Source organism: Homo sapiens, chromosome 1 (genome assembly GCF_000001405.40).
Source record: "Homo sapiens chromosome 1, GRCh38.p14 Primary Assembly".
Lineage (NCBI taxonomy): Eukaryota > Metazoa > Chordata > Mammalia > Primates > Hominidae > Homo > Homo sapiens.
Window position 1 is genome coordinate 61,697,895 of NC_000001.11, and position 20,522 is coordinate 61,718,416.

Below are 20,522 nucleotides of genomic sequence, written 5' to 3' on the forward strand. Positions count from 1 at the left end.
TTATTCCCTTATCCAATATTTTATCTTAGCAGAAACCTCTCATGTTCATTTTTGTGAAGCATCCCTAAGAAAGTGTTCTGTAGCAAAGTATCTAGATTTTCTTAAATTTATCATCTTACTCTGTTATGGGTGTTATTACATTACTTTCCCAATAAACATATTTCTATGTGATTGTTTTAAATGGCTGCATAGTATTCTGTTGTGTTACGCACTGTACCTTAATTTTTTTAGACAGTTCCTCCCTACTGAACATTTAGCCTGTTTCTAGTTTTTTTTGATATTCATATGACAAATATTTATCAGAGTCTTACTGTCAGGTTCTGTTCAGGATACCAACTTGCCTAAGACAGATAAGGCCTCTGCCTTTAAGAATGTACATTCCAGGCCAGGCGCAGTGGCTCACGCCTGTAATCCCAACACTTTGGGAGGCCGAGGCAGACAGATCACCTGAGGTTAGGAGTTCGAGACCAGCCTGACCAACATGGAGAAACCCTGTCTCTACTAAAAATACAAAATTAGCTGGGCATGGTGGCGCATGCCTGTAATCCAGCTACTTGGGAGGCTGAGGCAGGAGAATCACTTGAACCCAGGAGGCAGAGGTTGCGGTGAGCCAAGATCGCACCATTGCACTCTATCCTGGGCAACAAGAGTGAAACTCCGCCTAAAAAAAAAAAAAAAAGAATGTATATTCCAGAGGAAGACTGAAATGAATGAATAAACAAATCCCCGAGGCTAACAGATTTATAATTAGCACTATGAAGGAAAAAAAAAAAGCTAATATAAGTAGGACCACTGCTTTTCATAACCATGAAGAAAGACTAAGTAAGGTTAGTTGTAAAATGGGATTTTTTTTTTTCTTTTTTGTAGAAATGGGATCTCACTATGTCACTATGTTGTCTCTGCTGGCCTCAAACTCCTGGCCTCAAGCAATCCCCCAACCTCAGCCTGTTGAGTAGCTAAGTCTATGGGCACACACCACCGCACCCAGCAAAAAATTGAATTTTAGATTTTGTCTATAACTACTTTCATTGCAGTCAACATTGTATTACGTAGTTAAGAATTTTTTTTGAGGCAGTGATCATTTAAAATAAAAATGCCTAAATTCCTTAACCTTGAATTCTTAATAGAAATTACAATTTATTTAAAATACTTAAAAATTTTAAATTGGCCAGGCACTGTGGCTCATCCCTGTAATCCCAGCACTTTGGGAGGCTGAGGTGAGAGGACAGCTTGAGCCCAGGAGTTCTAGAGCAGCCTGTGCAACACGGCAAAATCCCATCTCTACAGAAAAATACCGAAATAAGTCAGGCATGGTGGTACATGCCTGTAGTCCCAGCTGCTTGGGGCAGAGCTGAGGACGGAGCATACCTTGAGCCCAGGAGGTCGAGGTTGCAGTGAGCCGTGATCGCACCACTGCACTCCAGCCTGGGCAACAGAGTGAGACTCTGTCACACAAAAAAAAAAGAAAGAAAAAGAAAAAATATTCTATTGCTTCTGATACCTAAAAGGATAACTTTTGATATCTAAAGGACCCAACTCCATAGCAAGATACTCAAAGCATTTTATAATCGGACCATAGACTACCTCTGTAGGCAGTGTCACCTCCTGCATTGTTCTTCCTACACGATCAGCTAAATTGTCCCCTAATCTCCCAGTGTACACTATATGCTTTACACATGCTGTTCTCTGCAATGCCTTCAACCTCTGTAATCTTTTCATCCTTCAAACCCTAGCTCAAATGTCACCATATCTAAGAACTTCCTTAAGTCAACTGCATCAGTCCCTTTTCTGTACTCTCACAGCACGGTTATGGTTCTGTTACAGCGCTGTACCATAAATTGGCCTACTAACATATTTATTTTATTTTTAACCAATATACACTGTGACCTTCATCATTATTTCCATATCACTTAGTTATTTAAATGTTGAATATATGTTTAATTAACTAAACAAGTATATATAGTACTTCATGACTTTTACTTAGGAACTTACAACACTGAGTTTTAGTATAGCTGTCAGAAATATATCTACCATCAACCCCACAGTGAAGACTTCTCTTTCATCTTTTGTGGGTAGCAACATGGAAGAAATAAGGTTAGCTTTGCTAGCTAGTAGGCAGAGCATTCAAAAACTTTAAATTTGCTCAGTGAAGGGCTAATATAGAAGCAGAGTACTACAGTAAATAAAGCATGATCTCTGGAGCCAGAAAATTTGGGTTCAAATTGAGGTCACTAGCTGAGTGTCCTTGGGTAAATCTCTTAATCTCGTGACAATTTTCCTATCCATAAAACAAAGATGATAACAACAAATATGTCACAGAATAAAGGAAAGCCTCTAGACTCAGTAAATCCCTTAACCTCTCTGGTGACAGTTTCCTTACCTGTTAAAGAGGATTTAAAGAGGATGATAAACTCAGAGGGTTGTAAGTCTTCAATAAGGGCAGGCATGTGAAAGTACTGTTTAAACAAAAGCTATCATAAAATGTAAATAGTTTTCATAAGCATTAGTAACTATAGTAAATGTGATTACAGCCAGAAGGAAGATATAGAAAGGGGGGCTAAGGGTGATAGAAGTCAGGCTCCCACCCCAGCTCAAGTGGATCACCAAAGTTCCAACCCCAACTTGTTCTGAAAGAAGTGCATAGTTTCTAATCCCAGGGCAATGGTGAAAGAGATTTGGGCAGAAGGAAATATTTTTTGGAGTGGTAGAGGATGTACATTTATTCGTAAAACATTAACTAAACATCCAGTGTGTGCCCAGCACTAGCAGTGACAGTTCCAGTGTACTATCGTAAGTAAATGCCTCCACTATCTTGTGTGTGTTTTCATAAAGGTGAAAACATAGGAAAAGTCAGTATTTCTTACCTAAGCTGAACTGTTGGGCTAATTGATAGCTCTATACTCACAGAAGAACATTAACTACTCAACTCCAATTATATAGAACTTATAATAAATACACAGAGATTTAATCCATAAGAACACCTACAATGAACTAAAATATAGGTTTCATAAGGATTTTTTTTTAATGAAACATACGCACCCAAAGCAGGGTATCCAAGGTAAAATCGATCTGCTCCCAACCATCCAAGAAAAAGAGACAATGCGACTGCCACTTTGTAGGAATAGCCATTTCTGCAAAAAATTAAAATCTGAGTATCATATTTCCAATGTGAACATTTTAGAAAAAAAAATTATTAACTACTACTTGTTAATTGGTTCATTCTTTCACTCAGTTAATGTTTTTTAGATGCCTCCTGTGTGTCAGGCACTATTCTAGGCTATTGGAATATATTAATGAATAAAAGCAACAAAGATCCCTATCCCCGTGTAGCTTACAGGCTGGTGGTAACAAGCAATAAACACAAATATATTTAAAAAATAAATCATATACTATGTTAGAAAGTCATAAATGTTAACAAAAAAAAAAAAAAAAAAAAAAAAAGAAGTAGAGCAGGCTGTGTAGAATGCCGGGAGCCATTTAAATGGAGTGGTAAGAGTAGGCCTCATTAAGAAGGTGATATTTGAGCAGAGACCTGAGGGAAGTGAGTGAGATGGCCATGCCATGCTTCTGAGGAAAGAGTGTCACAGGCAAAAAAGACAGCCAGAACTATCATTTTGAAGTCAAATTTCATCAAGTAAGATCCCTGCTCATAATTCTCTTTCGTGTGTGTGTGTGTGTGTGTGTGTGTGTGTGTGTATTTTATTGCACTGCATTGCATATTTGTAGGGAGTTAGAAAAAGTAGTAAGTGGCCCAGAGATGCTGTTTATGTGTCTAACGTTATAAGGATGTCAAACTTTATGCTGAGGGCAGGAGCACCTCATCTACAATGGAATAGGGCACCAAACTAGAAGCAGAAAAATAATTTAGAAGGCAATGCAAAAACTAATGCTGAAATCTAATGGGCAGTAACAGTGGGAGAAAGAAGTGAACAAAATTGGGAAATACTAACAAGGCAGAAGCAAACAGGCTACATGTGGGGAATGAGGGAAAAGGAGAAGTCAAGAATGACTCCAAGACGGGCGCGGTGGCACACGCCTGTAATCCTAGCACTTTGGGAGGCCGAGGCAGGTGGATCACTGAGGTCAGGAGTTCGAGAACAGCCTGGCCAACAGAGTGAAACACAGTCTCTACTAAAAATACAAAAATTAGCTGGACGTGGTGGCAGGCACCTGTAATCCCAGCTACTCGGGAGGCTGAGGCAGGAGAATCACTTGAACCCAGGAGGTGGAGGTTGCAGTAAGCCAAGATTGCACCACTGCACTCCAGCCTGGGTGACAGAGTGAGACTCTGTCTCAAAAAAATAATAAAAAATAAGTAATGAATCCAAAGTTTCTGCTTAAGAAACTGGGTAGAACTGGTGCCATTCAATGAGACAAAGGAGGAAAGGATTTGAAGAAAAAGAAACAAATGCAATTTTAGACCTTATATATATAATATATATAAAGATGGTAATATATTGATGTTCAATTCAATTTTATTTCTTTTTTTTTTGAGATGGAATCTCACTCTGTTGCCCAGGCTGGAGTGCAGTGGCGTGATCTCGGCTCACTGCAACCTCTGCCTCCCAGGTTCAAGCGATTCTTCCACCTCAGCCCCCCAAGTACCTGGGAGTACAGGCGCACACCACCACAGCTGGCTAATTTTTGTATTTTTGTAGAAAAGGGGTTTCACCATGTTAGCCAGGCTGGTATCAAACTCCTGGCCTCAAGTGACCCACCCGCCTTGGCCTCCCAAAGTGCTAGGATTACAGGAATGAGCCACCATGCCTGGTCCAATTCAATTTTAGACCTTACCTATATAATATATATAAAGATAGTTAATATATTGATATTCAATTCAATTCAATTTTAGGCCTTATATATATATATATGTAACATATATAAAGATGGTAATATATTTTAGATATTAGAGAGCTTAAGAAACAATGGGGCCAGCTGTGGTAGCTCACGCCTGTAATCCCAGCACTTTGGGAGGCTGAGGCGGTTGGATCACATGAGGCCAGGAGTTTGAGACCAGCCTGGCCAACACGGTAAAACCCCACTTCTACTAAAAATACAAAAATTAGCCGGGCGTGGTGGTATATGCCTGTAGTCCCAGCTACTTGGGAGGCTGAGGCATGAGAATCGCTTGAACCTGGGAAGCGGAGGTTGCAGTGAGCCAAGATCACGCCATTGCACTCCTGCCTGGGTGACAGAGCAAGACTGTCTCCAAAAAACAGAAAAAAGAACAAAAGAGAAAAAACAAAGGGAGAGCTGGACACACTGGCATGTGACTACAGGCACATGTCACTGTGCAAAGCTCTCCCATTGTTGTGCCTAATGAATATTACCATATTTATATATATTATATATGATCTAAAATATATAATTATATTTTATATATTATATATGAAGATGGTAATATGTTTTACATTAAATATTATTATATTTAATATAAGATGGTAATGTTATATATGACATATTACTATATATAATATACTAGTATATATTATATATACATATATATATGTTTCACATAATTTTTTTTTTTTTTTTTGAGACAGAGTCTCACTCTGTTGCCCAGGATGGAATGCAATGGCACGATCTCGGCTTATTGCAACCTCCACCTTCCGGGTTCAAGCAATTCTCCTGCTTCAGCCTCCCAAGTAGCTGGGATTACAGGCATGTGCCACCACACCCAGCTAATTTTTGTATTTTTAGTAGAGACAAAATTTCACCATGTTGGCCAGGCTGGTCTCAAATTCCTGACCTCAAGTTATCTGTGGGCCTTGGCCTCCCAAAGTGTTGGGACTACAGGTATGAGCCACTGCACCTAGCCAATCTTTATATATATATATATATATATATATATATATATATATGCATTTTTTTTTTTTTTTGAGATGGAGTTTCGCTCTTGTCACCCAGACTGGAGTGCAATGGCACAATCTCGGCTTACTACAACCTCCACCTCCCGGATTCAAGCGATTCTCCTGCCTCAGCTTCCTGAGTAGCTGGGATTACAGGCACCCACCACCACACCCGGCTAATTTTTGTATTTTTAGTAAGACGGGGTTTCACCATGTTGTCCAGGCTGGTCTCGAACTCCTGACCTCAGGTGATCCACCCACCTTGGCCTCCTCAACTGCTGGGATTACAGGCACCAGCCACCACATCCAGCTAATTTTTGTATTTTTAGTAAGACGGGTTTTCACCATGTTGTCCAGGCTGGTCTCGAACTCCTGACCTCAGGTGATCTGCCCGCCTTGGCCTCCTCAAGTGCTGGGATTACAGGCATAAGCCACTGCGCCTGGCTATTTATATATATTAAGGTCTAAAACTGAATAGAATATAAAACGTATCACCAACTTTTTATATGGCACATATATATATACAAAGATGATGAGAGAAGCCAAAGGGATGGATGAATGAAAAAAGGAAAAAGGACCAAGCATATCAAGACTTAAGGAAGAAGCAAAGAAATAGGAATGAAGGGACACAGAAGAGTGTTTTACACTATAAGCCAAAAAAAGAAAGTTTTTTTGGTTTTTTGTTTTGTTTTGTTTTGTTTTTTTGAGATTTAGTTTCAATCTTGTCACCCAGGCTGGAGCGCAATGGCACAATGTCGGCTTACTGCAACCTCCACCTCCTGGGTTCAAGTGATTCTCCTGCCTCAGCCTCCCGCGTAGCTAGGATTACAGGTGCCCACCACCACTCCCGGCTAATGTTTGTATTTTCAGTAGAGACAGGGTTTCACCTTGTTGGCCAGGCTGGTCTCAAACTTCTGGCCTCAGGTGATCCACCCACCTCAGTCTCCCAAAGTGTTGGGATTACAGGCTGAGCCACTGGGCCTAGCCAATAAAGCATTTTAAGAAAGCCAAGAAAGTATTTTAAGAAAGGAAACAGCCAGGCTGGGCACAGTGGCTCTCACCTGTAATCCCAGCACTTTAGGAGGCTGAGGTGGGAGGATCACTTCAGGCCATGAATTTGAGACAGAAAAGCCTGGTCAACATAGTGACACCCTGTCTCTATATTAAAAAGAGAGAGAGAAAGAAGGGAATAGCCAAATGCTGCAGAAAGATTAAGATATGAACTGTAAACACTCCTTTGATATATTGACAAAGACTGCTGGTGAATATCAGCATGGCCAAAAGCCATACTGCATTAGACAGAAAATCTTGTAACAGATAAGTATTATCAGAACAAGTTTCAAAAAGCTTGGCTGGGAAGGGAAATGAAATTAGAAAAGCAATTATCTATGTAAGTAAATCACCCTAAAGAATAATCTGAAAACTGGTAGTATAGCAGAGATTAGTTATTCACCGAGCCATTTCTCTTTCTCTGTTGCCCAGGCTGGAGTGCAGTGGCACAATCTTGATCTCGGCTCACTGAAACCTCCACCTTCCAGGTTCAAGCGATTCTCATGCCTCAGCTCCTGAGTAGCTGGGATTACAGGCACGCACCACCATGCCCAGCTAATTTTTATATTTTTAGTAGAAACGGGGTTTTACCATATTGGCCAGGCTGGTCTTGAACTCCTGACCTCAAGCGATCTGCCCGCCTCAGCCTCCCAAAGTGCTGGGATTACAGGAGTGAGCCACCACACCTGGCTCATTTCTCTTTTTCTTATGAATATACAGCTAACCTACATTTCCTAGTTCACCTTGCAGTTAAGTGCAGCCATAACTGAGTTTTGGCCAATGGAAGGAAGATGTAAGTGTACACCATTTCCAAGTCTGGCCCATAAAATACTCCTACAAAGGTTTCCCTCTCCTCTTTCCCATCTGCTGCCTTAGTGGAAAGGACTCTAAGGACTACAGAAAGCAAAGCCAAAAGACGAAAGGAGCAAGGCCCATTCATGACTACATGGAACAACTATGGCCTCACCACCACCACCCAGACCTCCAAGTTAACCCAAATGAAGCAATGATGTAATACTAACATAGATGGCCAGTGTAAATAGGTGGGTGGCTTGGTCATCAATCAGACATGGTTACCAGACTTCAGTTTCTGGAGAATACATTATAGAATATTTGCAATACTAAGATGAAATTTTAATCAAGTATTAAACTATTATATATAGTTTGAAAAACAATATGCTAACAGGAGTACAAAGAAAATATGAAACTGGAAAAGGGACACCTAATGAGTAAGAATGTATCGCTGAGTCTTTATTCAGTAGCTGCACAGCAGCTGGCCTTTTGGTAGGCACATACCTAATATCTCGATAAAGCAAAATTATTTATCCAGTTATCTTAGCTTTGCCACTCTTACCATCAAAATTACCCATCAGTCTAACTCCCATTGTTCTGTTGAGCAATGCTCATTCTTTTTCTTTTATTTGTTTGAGACTGGATCTGGTTCTGTCACCAATGCTGTAGTGCAGTAGCCATGATTTCGACTCACTGCAACCTCTGCCTCTCAGGCTCAAACCATCATCCCACCTCAGCCTCTCGAGTAGCTGGGACTACAGACATGCACCACCAGCTAACTTTTGTATTTTTTGGTAGAGATGGGGTTTCACCATGTTGCCCAGCTGGTCTCAAACTCCTGAGCTCAAGCAATCCGCCTGCCTTGGCCTCCCAAAGTGCTGGGATTACAGGTGTGAGCCACCACGCCGAGCCACAAATTCTGTCTTGAAATTGTTAACTTAGACCAGGCGCGGTGGCTCACAGCTGTAATCCCAGCACTTTGGGAGGCCAAAGCAGGTGGATCACCTGAGGTCAGGAGTTCGAGACCAGCCTGACAAACATGGAGAAACCCCGTCTCTACTAAGAATACAAAATTAGCCAGGCATGGTGGCACATGCCTGTAATCCCAGCTACTTGGGAGGCTGAGGCAGGAGATCGCTTGAACCCGGGAAGGTTCAGTGATGGCGGAGGTTGGTGGAGGTTGCAGTGAGCCAAGATCACACCATTGCACTCCAGCCTGGGAAACAAGGACAAAACTCTGTCTTAAAAAAAAGAAAGAAAGAAAGAAAGAAAGAAAGAAATAGTAAACTTTATTGTAAGAAGGGAATAAGCTGGCCAGTAGCCTTGGAATATCTGGTTTCCCTGATGGTTATATTTCTTATCATAATTGATATCAATATCTTATAAGGGCCAGGCATGGTGGCTCATGCCTGTGATCCCAGCACCTTGAGAGCCCGAGGCGGGCTGATCGCTTGAGCCCAGAAGTTTGAGACCAGCCTGGGCAACATGGTGAAACCCCATCTCTACTAAAAATACAAAAATTAGCCGAGCTTTGGGGCATGCACCTCTAGTCCCAGCTACTTGGGAGGCTGAGATGAGAGGATGGCTTGAACCAGGAAGGTTGAGGCTGCAATGAGACATGATTGTGACGCTGCACTCCAGCCTGGGCTACAGAGGAAGACTCTGTCTCAAAAAATATAAAATAAAAAATGCTTATGAGTATGATTAGTGTAGCTCAGTTGTATGCAGCCTAATCCATTTTGAGACACTGAAAGAAAAATCAGCATTAACTTGGAAATTAAGTAACAGACCATTCTGGTGTTAGCATTACAGATAATATAAACCTGTAAGTTCCAGCCTGAGTGGTTAGCTGTTCTCAACAGATGATTTTCTTACTGTAACCTATATCTTGGACCAGCATTTAATGTATTAGTTGTTTAGAATGTTTAAGGTAGAAATATCTATAAATTTAGGTATTGACTAAACCCTATTTTTTAAACTTACCCCTGTAATGGAAAAAAAAAGAAATCATATCTAAGTACATTGCAAACTATTCTTTTTTAATAATTTTTACTTGACTAATGCAAAATCTTGGAACCCAAGAAGATCAGTGGTAGGCTTAGGATTATACAGCAAGATAGAATCAAAAGCCCCTCATTAACTCAATGAGGTAGGGTCAAAAGAAAAGAAAGAACGCTAAGAGTTCTTGCTAAGAATTCCAACAACTTGTAGCAATAGTCTAACAGTGGTTTATTTCTTTTTTTTCTTTTTCCTTTTTAAGGTTCAATGCATCTGTACAGTGGCTTATTTCTTGAAACAACCAAAACTAAGTGCCATCAAATAGAATGTAACAATATACAGTTTTAGGCTGAAAATATAATGCCAACAATTAAAAATAGATAACACTAAATCATGTTTTTAGTACAAAGCAGGAACATAAGAATGAATAATAAGCTTTAGCAGAAAGAGAAATCAAACTTAAAAGTCCTTTTTAAAAAATGTTTAATTTTAAGTTTTTTAGAGACAGGGTCTCTACTCTGTTACTGTGATCATAGCTCACTACAACCTCAAACTCCTGGGCCCAAGTAATTCTCCCACCCCAGCCTCCCAGTGGCTAGGACCACAGGCAAGCACCACCTCACTGGGCTAATTTTTGTATTTTTTTGTAGAGACAGGGTCTCCCTACTTTGCCCAGGTTGGTCCCCAACTCCTGGCCTCAAGTGATTCTCCTGCAATTGGCCTCCCAAAGTGCTGGGATTACAAGTGTAAGCCACCACTCTAGGCCTAAAAGTCCTTTAAATAGAGAAATTCCTAACAAAAGAAAGCCATTTGTCTTACTATCCCAAACTGATCATTTTTGCTGTTGTTTTTATAAAAGACAGTGTCTCACTATGCTGCCCAGGCTAAACGTGAACTTCCGGGCTCCTCTGGCCTCAGCCTCCTGGGTAGCTAGGACTATAGGCATATACTACTGTGTCTGGCTAGCCAAACTGATAACTTTTGAATTCTGTTTAACATTACCATTCATCATCCATATTTATCACAAAGAATAAAACCAAGTTTAAAATGCCCTTTATGTGCAAAAAATTAATTAGCATTTTTCTGATACAATAGGTACACAATTGCTGTTTGTACTCTAGAAATCTCCCACATTTTGAAGACAATTTTTTCATAACTCAATTAGTGGCATAAACTAACTGACCTGAATTAACATGGCACGAGGCCATTTATAGTCTTTATTTGTCCCACATACTGGACTACTCAGCTCTACTTGATTGGTGAATTGCATTTATAAAAAAAAAAAAAAATACACACTTGGCTGGGTGTGGTGGCTCATGCCTGTAAATCCCAGCACTTTGAGAGGCCGAGATGGGAGAATCATGTCAGGCCAGGAGTTCGAGACCAGCGCTGGGAAACATAGAGAGATCTCATCTCTACAAAATAATTAAAAGTTAGCCAGGCATGGTGGCACAAACCTGTACTCCAGCTACTTACAGGACTGAGGTGGGAGGATTGCTTGAGCCTGGGAGGCAGAGGCTGAAGTGAGCCGTGATCATGCCACTGCACTCCAGCCTGAGTGACTAAGCAAGACCTTATCTCAAAAACCAAAAAACAAACACTTAAAATAAAGGTTTTCTGACACAAGCAAAAAGATAAAAGATACATTTTCAGGATAGTCCCCATAAATTATCTCCTCTCTTCATGCAATGAAGATATAATATAGGCAAGTAATCTGAAAATTTAAGTTTCAGTAATGTACTTACACATTTCGGCAAGATATGGGCTTGAAAAAACCAACTTCGTTCCCAGTAAAATGTGTTTCATTGCCACTGGAATCCTTACAAGTTATGTTGGGTGCTGGAAAACAGGAAACTGAAGGCAGAAAAAGTCAAGAAACTGTTATTTTTTTTTTCTGGAGAAACAGTATGTAATTGTTCTAAGACTAGCAAATATGTTATAACAAACTACCTCCCAATATAACATGACACAAGCCTTTAATTTTAGGTGGGAAAAGTGACACTACGTATGTACTTACATGCAAGATAAACATAAAATTGTATAGTAGTCTCTTAACACAAAAATATAAGAGTTGCCACACTGGACTAGATGCATGGCCAATCTATAATTCAATCTCCTGCCTCTGATAAAGGTACCAAGGGAAGAATTGCACAACATTACTGCCCTTTACTTCATCTCCAGAATTAAGAATACCTCTCAAATTTTTGTTGGTAATATGTTGGGCAATTTATCTATTAAATTATTTTAACATAATCTGAGTTTGTATTTTTAGCATATACCAACGCTTATAGATAATTGTTGCCATAAATTATTTTCATTGATTCTAAATGTATTTGTTTCTTGATTCCCTCTGGGGTTTGATATAGATTATTTCAGAATTTAAGCAATCTTGATCCTTCCTCATAACCAGATGACATAAGAAGAAGAAGTAACACTTACAGACCCAGACAAGCACTGCCTTAACAGCTTTATAACCTCATAGTGTAAAGAACAAGACCTTTGGAATGAGAACAACTTATTTGGACATTGCTCCTTTCAGAACCTTCGATTCTTTGTAGGTAAAAATAGTACCAAAGGGCCAAGTGCAGTGGCTCATGCCTATAATCCCAGCACTTTGGGAGGCTGAGATGGGCAGATTCAAGACCAGCATGGGCAACATGGCGACACCCCATCTCTACAAAACAATACAAAAATTTGCCAGGCATGGTGGCTTGTGCCTGTGATCCCAGATACTTGGGAGGCTGAGGTGAGAGGATCACTTGGGCCTGAGAGGCAGACATAGCAGGGAGCCAAGATTGTGCCACTGCCCTCCAGCCTGGGTGACAGAGCAAGACCCTGTCCCAAAAAAAAAAAAAAAAAAAAATGTATATATATATATACATATATATATATACACACACACACACACATATACACACATACACACACACACACACACACACACACATATACGACTACCCACCTCATAGCACCATTGTAAGAATATATAAAAGTACCTGGCAGAAGGCACAGTATATTGCAGGTATTCAATAAATCAACATTTTAGACTGAAAAGTACTAATACTTTTAGATTAGTTTCAGAAAAAGCTTACCTCTATGTTTAGCATCAAGAATTACATATTTTTTTAAAATAAAACTGTGTATAATAAAGTAAAAACAGAGAACCTAGAGTTTGATTAGGAAAGAAAGATAGTATTTTCTATCATTTATAATTATCCTAAGATTTCCAACAAATCATTGTCCTCTTTTAGGCAAGAATAGTACACTGAGAAAACGATGGTTAAAAAAACAAACAAACCCTATAATGACTTCTACACCTATTTGTCAGGTTACTGATAGTTCTAACTACATTACCCCATAAATTGTATTTATTTAATGCATGGAAATTTCTAAAACAAGGTGGTGTTTATAATAAAACGCACAGATTCAATAAAACTGAGAACCATTTTAATAAAACAAAGGGCGGTCGGGCGCGGTGGCTCAATGGCTCAAGCCTGTGATCCCAGCACTTTGAGAGGCCGAGGCAGATGGATCACTTGAGGTTTGGAGTGCGACACCAGCCTGGGCAACATGGCGAAAACCCATCTCTACAAAAAATTAGCCAGGCATGGTGGCGGGCACCTGTAATCCCAGCTACATGAGAGGCTGGGGCAGGAAAATCACTTGAACCTGGGAGATGGAGGTTGCAGTGAGCCGAGATCGCACCATTGCATTCCAGCCTGGGTGAAAGAGTGAAACTCCACCTCAAAAAAAAAAAAAAGAAAAAAAAATATACAAAGAGATGTGGACAGAAGAGTGACTCACGCCTGTAATCCCAGCACTTTGGGATATAGAGGAGGGAGGACTGCTTGAGCCCAGTAGTCTGAGACCAGCCTGGGCAACATGGAGAGATCCCCATCTCTACAAAAAATAAAATAATTGGTCAGGCATGGTGGTGCTCACCTGTTGTCAGGAGGCTGAGGCAGGACTGGGAGGTCAAGGCTGCAGTGAGCTGTGATCATGCCACTGCACTCCAGCCTGGGCAACAGAGTGAGACCGTCTCAAAAAAAAAAAAAATACAAAGAGATGTGGCAGAACTTAACAGGCAATTGGTATGTAGCTATTTGGCTACCTGCCTTGGCACAGGGATAAAATTTATTGACTTTTGCCAATGAATTAATGTGACATCCTTTAGATTATATCTCTTGAAAATCTTCCATCTTGGATCATGCTTTTGATTAGTTATATAGTAGACAACTCAAAGTTGAGGTCAGCAAAAGTCTGAAATGTTGATATAAATTCTATGTCACTGAAAGGAGATCAACATGGTTTTAGATCACTAATTCTTTTTTTTTTTTAAGAGATGAGGTTTTGATGTTGGCCAGGCTGGAACTCCTGGCCTCAGGAGATCCTCCTGCCTCAGCCACTCAAAGTACTGGGATTACAGGTGTGAGCCACCATGATGTAACTAGCCCTAACTCAGTAAAATCAGTAATTCTTAACTGGGGCATTTTTACTCCCCAGAGGACATTTGGCAAGGTCTGGAAACATTTTCAGTTGTCACTGGGGAGCTGCTAGGGGCATATAGTGAGTACAGACCAGGGATACTCATAAACATCCTACAGTGCACAAGATAGCCTCCCCACAACAATGAATTACCCAGTCCAAAAAATCAATAGCACTGAGGTTGAGAAACCCTGCTATAGATTAGTCATCTTCAAAAAAATTCTGCACATATACCTGCTATAAATTAAATTTTTATAAACTATATATGCCCTCACACATTTAAACAGACATCTAAAATTTTTCAACATGAATTTAAATGGTTGGAAAAAATGTCATTTCCAGTTTGTTCATTTATTTATTGAAACCGAGTCTCACTCTATTGCACAGGCTGGAGTGCCCTGGTGCGATCTCAGCTCACTGCAACCTCCGTCTCCTGGGTTCAAGCAATTCTCATGTCTCAGCCTCTCCAGTAGCTGGGATTATAGGCACCTGCTACCATGTCCAATTAATTTTTGTATTTTTAGTAGAGATGGGGTTTCACCATGTTGGCTAGGCTAGTCTCGAACTCCTGGCCTCAAGTAATTCACCCGCCTCAGTCTCCCAAAGTGCTGGGATTACAGGTGTGAGCCACCGTACCCAGCCTCCAGTATATTTAATACTATCATGAAAATTAACATGTTATAGCACTCTTCAAAGTGGACTCTAAACACCACAGCAATTTCACAGCCATCATGATCCACTGGAGAACAGATATGAAAGAACTACTCTCTAAAATTCCACAATTTTACATCAATTTTAGGAAAGAGTGCACACTTAAAAGCTGAGAATTGGCTGGGCACAGTGACTCATGCCTGTAATCCCAGCACTCTGGGAGGCCAAGGCAGGAGGATCACTTGAGGTCAGGTCACCTGACCAACATGGTGAAACCCTGTCTCTACTAAAAAGACAAAAATCAGTGGGGTGTGGTGGCACACACCTGAAATCCCAGCTACTTGGGAGGCTGAGGCAGGAGGATCGCTTGAACCCAGGAGGCAGAGGTTGTAGTGAGTTGAGATTGCGCCACTGCACTTCAGCCAGGGAGATAGAATGAGACTCCACCTCAAAAAAAAAAAAAAGCTGAGAATCTAGGCCGGGTGCAGCGGCTCATGCCTGTAATCCCAGCACTTTGGGAGGCCGAGGCAGGTGAATTGCTTGCAGCCAGGAGTTCAAGACCAGTCTGGCCAACATGGTGAAACCCATCTCTATCAAAAATACAAAAAATTAGCCAGGCGTGGTGACATGTGCCTGTGGTCCCAGCTACTCAGGAGGCTGAGGCAGGAGAATTGCTTGAGCCTGGGAGACATAGGTTGCAGTAAGCCACAATCATGCCACTTACACTCCAGCCTGGGTAAGAGGACAAGACCCCCCGCAACTCAAAAACAAAAAAAAAAAAAAAAAAAAAGGAGGGGTCTGCAAAAGTATCTATAAACACAGGTTTTTTTTCTCAAAAAGCAGCTTTAAATCTTTTCATATCCTCAAGCCAGTAAGTAGATTAAGTGTGCCAGAAAGCACAGTATTACTAGATTGTAGATCATTTTTCTCTACAAGTATCTACCTTGCACTTGCTTAGTCTGAAGCTGTCACTTTCTTGTCATACAGCCTTGTGAGATCTTCCTGCAGATTATCTAAAATCAGGTCTTAAAGAGACAGTTGCAATACAAGACACTTATTATGATACCAGCTGGGGATATTTTCCAATATACCTTGCCTAACAGAAATGCACTGTTTTTTTGAGATGACAGGTTTCTGTACAAAACTTTTAAAAACCAAATATTTCTTTTTTTTTTTTTTTTTTTTTTGAGACGGAGTCTCGCTCTGTCGCCCAGGCCGGACTGCGGACTGCAGTGGCGCAATCTCGGCTCACTGCAAGCTCCGCTTCCCGGGTTCACGCCATTCTCCTGCCTCAGCCTCCCGAGTAGCTGGGACTACAGGCGCCCGCCACCGCGCCCGGCTAATTTTTTGTATTTTTAGTAGAGACGGGGTTTCACCTTGTTAGCCAGGATGGTCTCGATCTCCTGACCTCATGATCCACCCGCCTCGGCCTCCCAAAGTGCTGGGATTACAGGCCTGAGCCACCGCGCCCGGCCAAAAACCAAATATTTCTAGGTGAGTTGAAAATGCCTGGTAAAAAATATTAAAAACTAAAGAGCCCTGGATGGGCGCAGTGGCTCACACCTGTAATCCCAGCACTTTGGGAGGCCGAGGTGGGTGGATCACCAGGTCAGGAGTTCAAGACCAGCCTGGCCAACATGGTAAAACACCGTCTCTACTAAAAATAGAAAAATCAGCCGGGCATGCTGGCCTGTGCCAGTAATCCCAGCTAGTCAGGAGGCTGAGGCAGGAAAATTGCTTGGACCCGGGAAGCGGAGGTTTCAGTGAGCTGAGGTCGCGCCACTGCACTCCAGCCTGGGTGACACAGCAAGACTCTGTCCAAAAAAAACTAAAGAGCCCTTTCTTTCGCTTTATTTTTGTGGCAGGGTCTTGTCACCCAGGCTAGAGTGCAATGGCACGATTACGGCTCACTGCAGCCTCAACCCCCTGGGCTTAAGAGACCCTCCCGCCTCAGTCTCCCAAGTAGGTGGTACTATAGGTGTGTGCCACCAAGCCTGGCTAATTTTTGTATTTTTTTGTAGAGACAGGTTTTCACCACGTTGCCCAAGCTGGTCTCAAACTCCTGGGCTCAAGCAATCCACCCATTTCGGCCTCCCAAAGGTGTGAGCCACCATGCCCAGCCAACAGTATCTATTTTTCAACTAGATAGTACCAATTGTCCAAAATCTCATATTTTGAGAGTTTTAGTTTTCAATATTTAATCATTTCTAATAGCTGCTTTGTATACAACATAAAAAAGATGAAAGAGAGAAAAAAGCCCAACACTCCAGGATTAGATACTCAGGAAAGACACCATAGTGGAAAGAGGTACCATCGTGACGGGAAAACCACATTGCAATGATTCAAGAATTTTGACATACATTTGAGCTACTTATTTCAAGGGATGAAAATTATATACTTGAGTGAAAAGAGGATGAACTGTTGCTCCAAATAAGTAGACAGAAGACATGAGAAAATAATGAGAGAAACTCAGAATGATTTATTTGAAAAGATCGAGAACTCCAAAGAGCAGGACTTTAGAACTAGACAGATTTGGATTTAAGTCCTGTCACTTAACTAGCATGTTCCTTCAAGAAAAATAAAACCTCTCTGAATCGTGTTTCCAATCTGTGACATGGGACATATCTTTTATACTCCTGTTATATACATTTAAAAAGCATACAGGCTGGGCATGGTAGCTCACGTCTCTAATCCCAGCACTTTGGATCACTTGAGTCCAGGAATTCGAGACCAGCCTGGCCAACATGGTAAAACCCCGTCTCTACTAAAAATACACAAATTAGCCAGGCATGGTGACCTGCATCCGTAGTCCCAGCTACTGAAGAGGCTGAGGCACAAGAATTGCTTGAACCCGAGAGGCAGTGGTTGCAGTGAGCCGAGATGGCACCACTGAACTAAAGCCTGGGTGACAGAGCAAGACTGTCTCAAAAAAAAAAAAAAAAAAAAAAAAAAAAAACAAGAAAGAAGGAAAAAAAAGCAAAGAAAAGAAAAAGAAAAAGCATATGTTGTGTAAAGCATGGTGCTTGGTTAGAAAAGGTATTCAAAAAGTGTTTAGGGGCTTGAGCCCAGGAGGTTTTTTTGTTTATTTTTTTGTTTTTTTGAGACGGAGTCTGGCTCTGTCACCCAGGCTGGAGTACAGTGGCGCGATCTCGGCTCACTGCAAGCTCCACCTCCCAGGTTCACGCCATTCTCCTGCCTCAGCCTCCCGAGTAGCTGGGACTACAGGTGCCCACCACCATGCCCAGCTAATTTTTTTTTTGTATTTTTAGTAGAGACGGGGTTTCACCATGTTAGCCAGGATGGTCTCGATCTCCTGACCTCGTGATCCACCCGCCTCGGCCTCCCAAAGTGCTGGGATTACAGGCATGAGCCACCACGCCCAGCCGAGCCCAGGAATTTAAGACAAGCCTGGGCAACATAGTGAGACTCTGTCTCTAAAGAAAAAAAAAATTAGCCAGGCATGGTGGCATGTGCCTGTAGTCCTAGCTACTCGGGAAGCTGAGGCAGGAAGATCTCTTGAGCCTAGGAGATCCAGGCTGCAGTAAGCTACGATCCTGCCATTGCACTACAGCCTGGGCGACAGAGTAAGGCCTCTCTCTACTCTCCGCCAACCCCCCAACAAATATTATATACATATTTAATTTTATATATAATTATATAATTTTATATATAATTACATATATAATTTTATATATGTATATAATTATATATAAGTGTATAATTATATATAATTTTATATACATATATAATTATATATAATTTTATATACGTATATAATTATATATAATTTTATATATGTATATAATTATATATGTGTATAATTTTATATATGTATATAATTTTATATATGTATATAATTTTATATATATATATACACACACACACACAAAAAGAGAGTTAGATTCCCCACTCTAGGAAATCAGAGAAATTCAACACTTCGAAGACTAAAAAAGAAATGAATATAACATTGTGAGTGGCTATAAAAATAACGTAAGATTTTATGATATGAAATTAATCAATTCAAAAGAAGCCTACAACCCTAGAGTTTATTTGTTTAGACATACTTTATAATGATTTCATTTCATCCTTGTAAGAAAGAAGAACTTGTTAAGTAAGCAAATTCACAATATTTCTTTTTCTTTCCTTTCACAAACAGGAAAACTGAGGTTCTAAGAAATTAAATGAGTTGACTAAAAAGCAAATAATACTCTCTAAATCCTAGACTAAAACTCATTACCCTTAATCAATACTCTTTCCATTATATCATAATTATCCCATGCTAACACTGATTTCAGCAATAAGCAAAAATAAACAAATCAATATGACAAGATCAAACAAGCCAGTTATGGCCGGGTGCAGTGGCTCACGCCTGGAATCCCAGCACTTTGGGAGGCCGAGGCCAGCGGATCATGAGGTCAGGAGATCGAGACCATCCTGGCTAACACGGTGAAACCCCTTCTCTACTAAAAATACAAAACAAAACAAAAAAAAAAAAACAATTAGCCGGGCGTGGTGGCGGGCACCTCTAGTCCCAGCTACTTGGGAGGCTGAGGCTGGATAATGGCGTGAACCTGGGAGGCAGAGCTTGCAGTGAGCCGAGATAGTGCCACTGCACTCCAGCCTGGGAAACAGAGCAAGACTCCGCCTCAAAAAAAAAAAAAGAAGCCAGTTATCAGTAAATGTTACCTAGTAGACAAAATTAAGCAACATGCTATAAGCCTGAAAACTATTCAATTTGCAGTTTTCTTGCAAAAAGGTTTGGTTCTGACCAATGTCTAGGATTTAGATAATATCAATTCCAGCCAATAACTACACAGTATTCATTATAAAAAGCAACAGTGTGGTTTTTTTTGTTTGACTGGTTTCTTTTTAGAGACAGGGTTTCACTCCGTTGCCCAAGATGGAGTGAAGTGGCATGATCACAGCTCACTGTAGCCTCGAAGTCCTGCGCTCAAGACATCCTCCAGCCTCAGACTACCAAATAGCCAGGATTACAGGCACACACCACCACCACACCTGGTATAGAAACCAGTGATGTTTTTCAAATACACAAATGTTAAACCAGAAATAATGTAATCAGACAATGAAGTTTCATAACAATAAAAAAAAAAGGACTAAATTTAGCCTGGGCAACTCTGCAAAAAATACTTAGGGACTGGTGGCGCATGTCTGTAATCCCAGCTACTTGGGTGGCTGAGGCAGGAGGATCGCTTGAGTCCTGAAGATGGAGGCTGCAGTGAGCCGTGATCGCACCACTGCACTTCAGCCTGGGCTACAAAGCAGCGAGACCATGTCTCCAAAAACAACAACAAAAAACGCCAGGTGTGGTGGCTCACAACTGTAATTCCAACACTTTCGGAGGCCGAGGCAAGTGGATTGCTTGAGCTCAGGAGTTAGAAACCAGCTTGGGCAACACCGTAAAACCCCATCTCTACAAAAAAATGCAAAAATTAGCTGGGCGTGGTGAGGCTAAGGTGGGAGGATCACTTGAGCCTGGGAGGTGGAGGTTAGAGTGAGCAGAGATCCTGCGACCAAACTCCAGCCTGAGTGACAGAGTGAGACCCCATCTCCAAAAAAAAAAAAGAGAGAGAAAAATAAAGTTGGCAAGAGCCAATCCCATCTCCATATTTTTGGCATTAAAAGAGTTCTCCTCTGAGAGTGCTAGGTTTGGAAAATAATCATTTTGCAACTATCAGA

General features: G+C 41.0%; 1 protein-coding gene across 8 annotated transcripts in view, besides 1 other annotated feature; it reads right to left on the reverse strand.

The window, feature by feature from the left end:
• Positions 1-20,522, reverse strand: part of TM2D1 (TM2 domain containing 1) — a 44,096-nt gene that overhangs the window by 16,849 nt on the left and 6,725 nt on the right. For all 8 annotated transcript variants that reach the window (NR_135161.2, NR_135160.2, NR_135162.2 and 5 more), the window contains 2 exons: positions 11,435-11,543; positions 3,040-3,131 (listed from right to left, as the gene is read on the reverse strand). Coding sequence is in view for 4 of the 8 variants with exons in the window: in NM_032027.3 (NP_114416.1) it covers positions 3,040-3,131; positions 11,435-11,543 (201 nt within the window). In the remaining 4 variants the exon portion in view is untranslated. The remainder of the gene's footprint in view (positions 1-3,039; positions 3,132-11,434; positions 11,544-20,522) is intronic.
• Positions 13,440-13,640: a silencer, noted in NCBI's record as "peak264 fragment used in MPRA reporter construct". NCBI's record gives its function as "represses an SCP1 promoter by STARR-seq MPRAs in K562 erythroleukemia cells {active_cell/tissue: K562}" and the evidence as "EXISTENCE:reporter gene assay evidence [ECO:0000049][PMID:32103011]".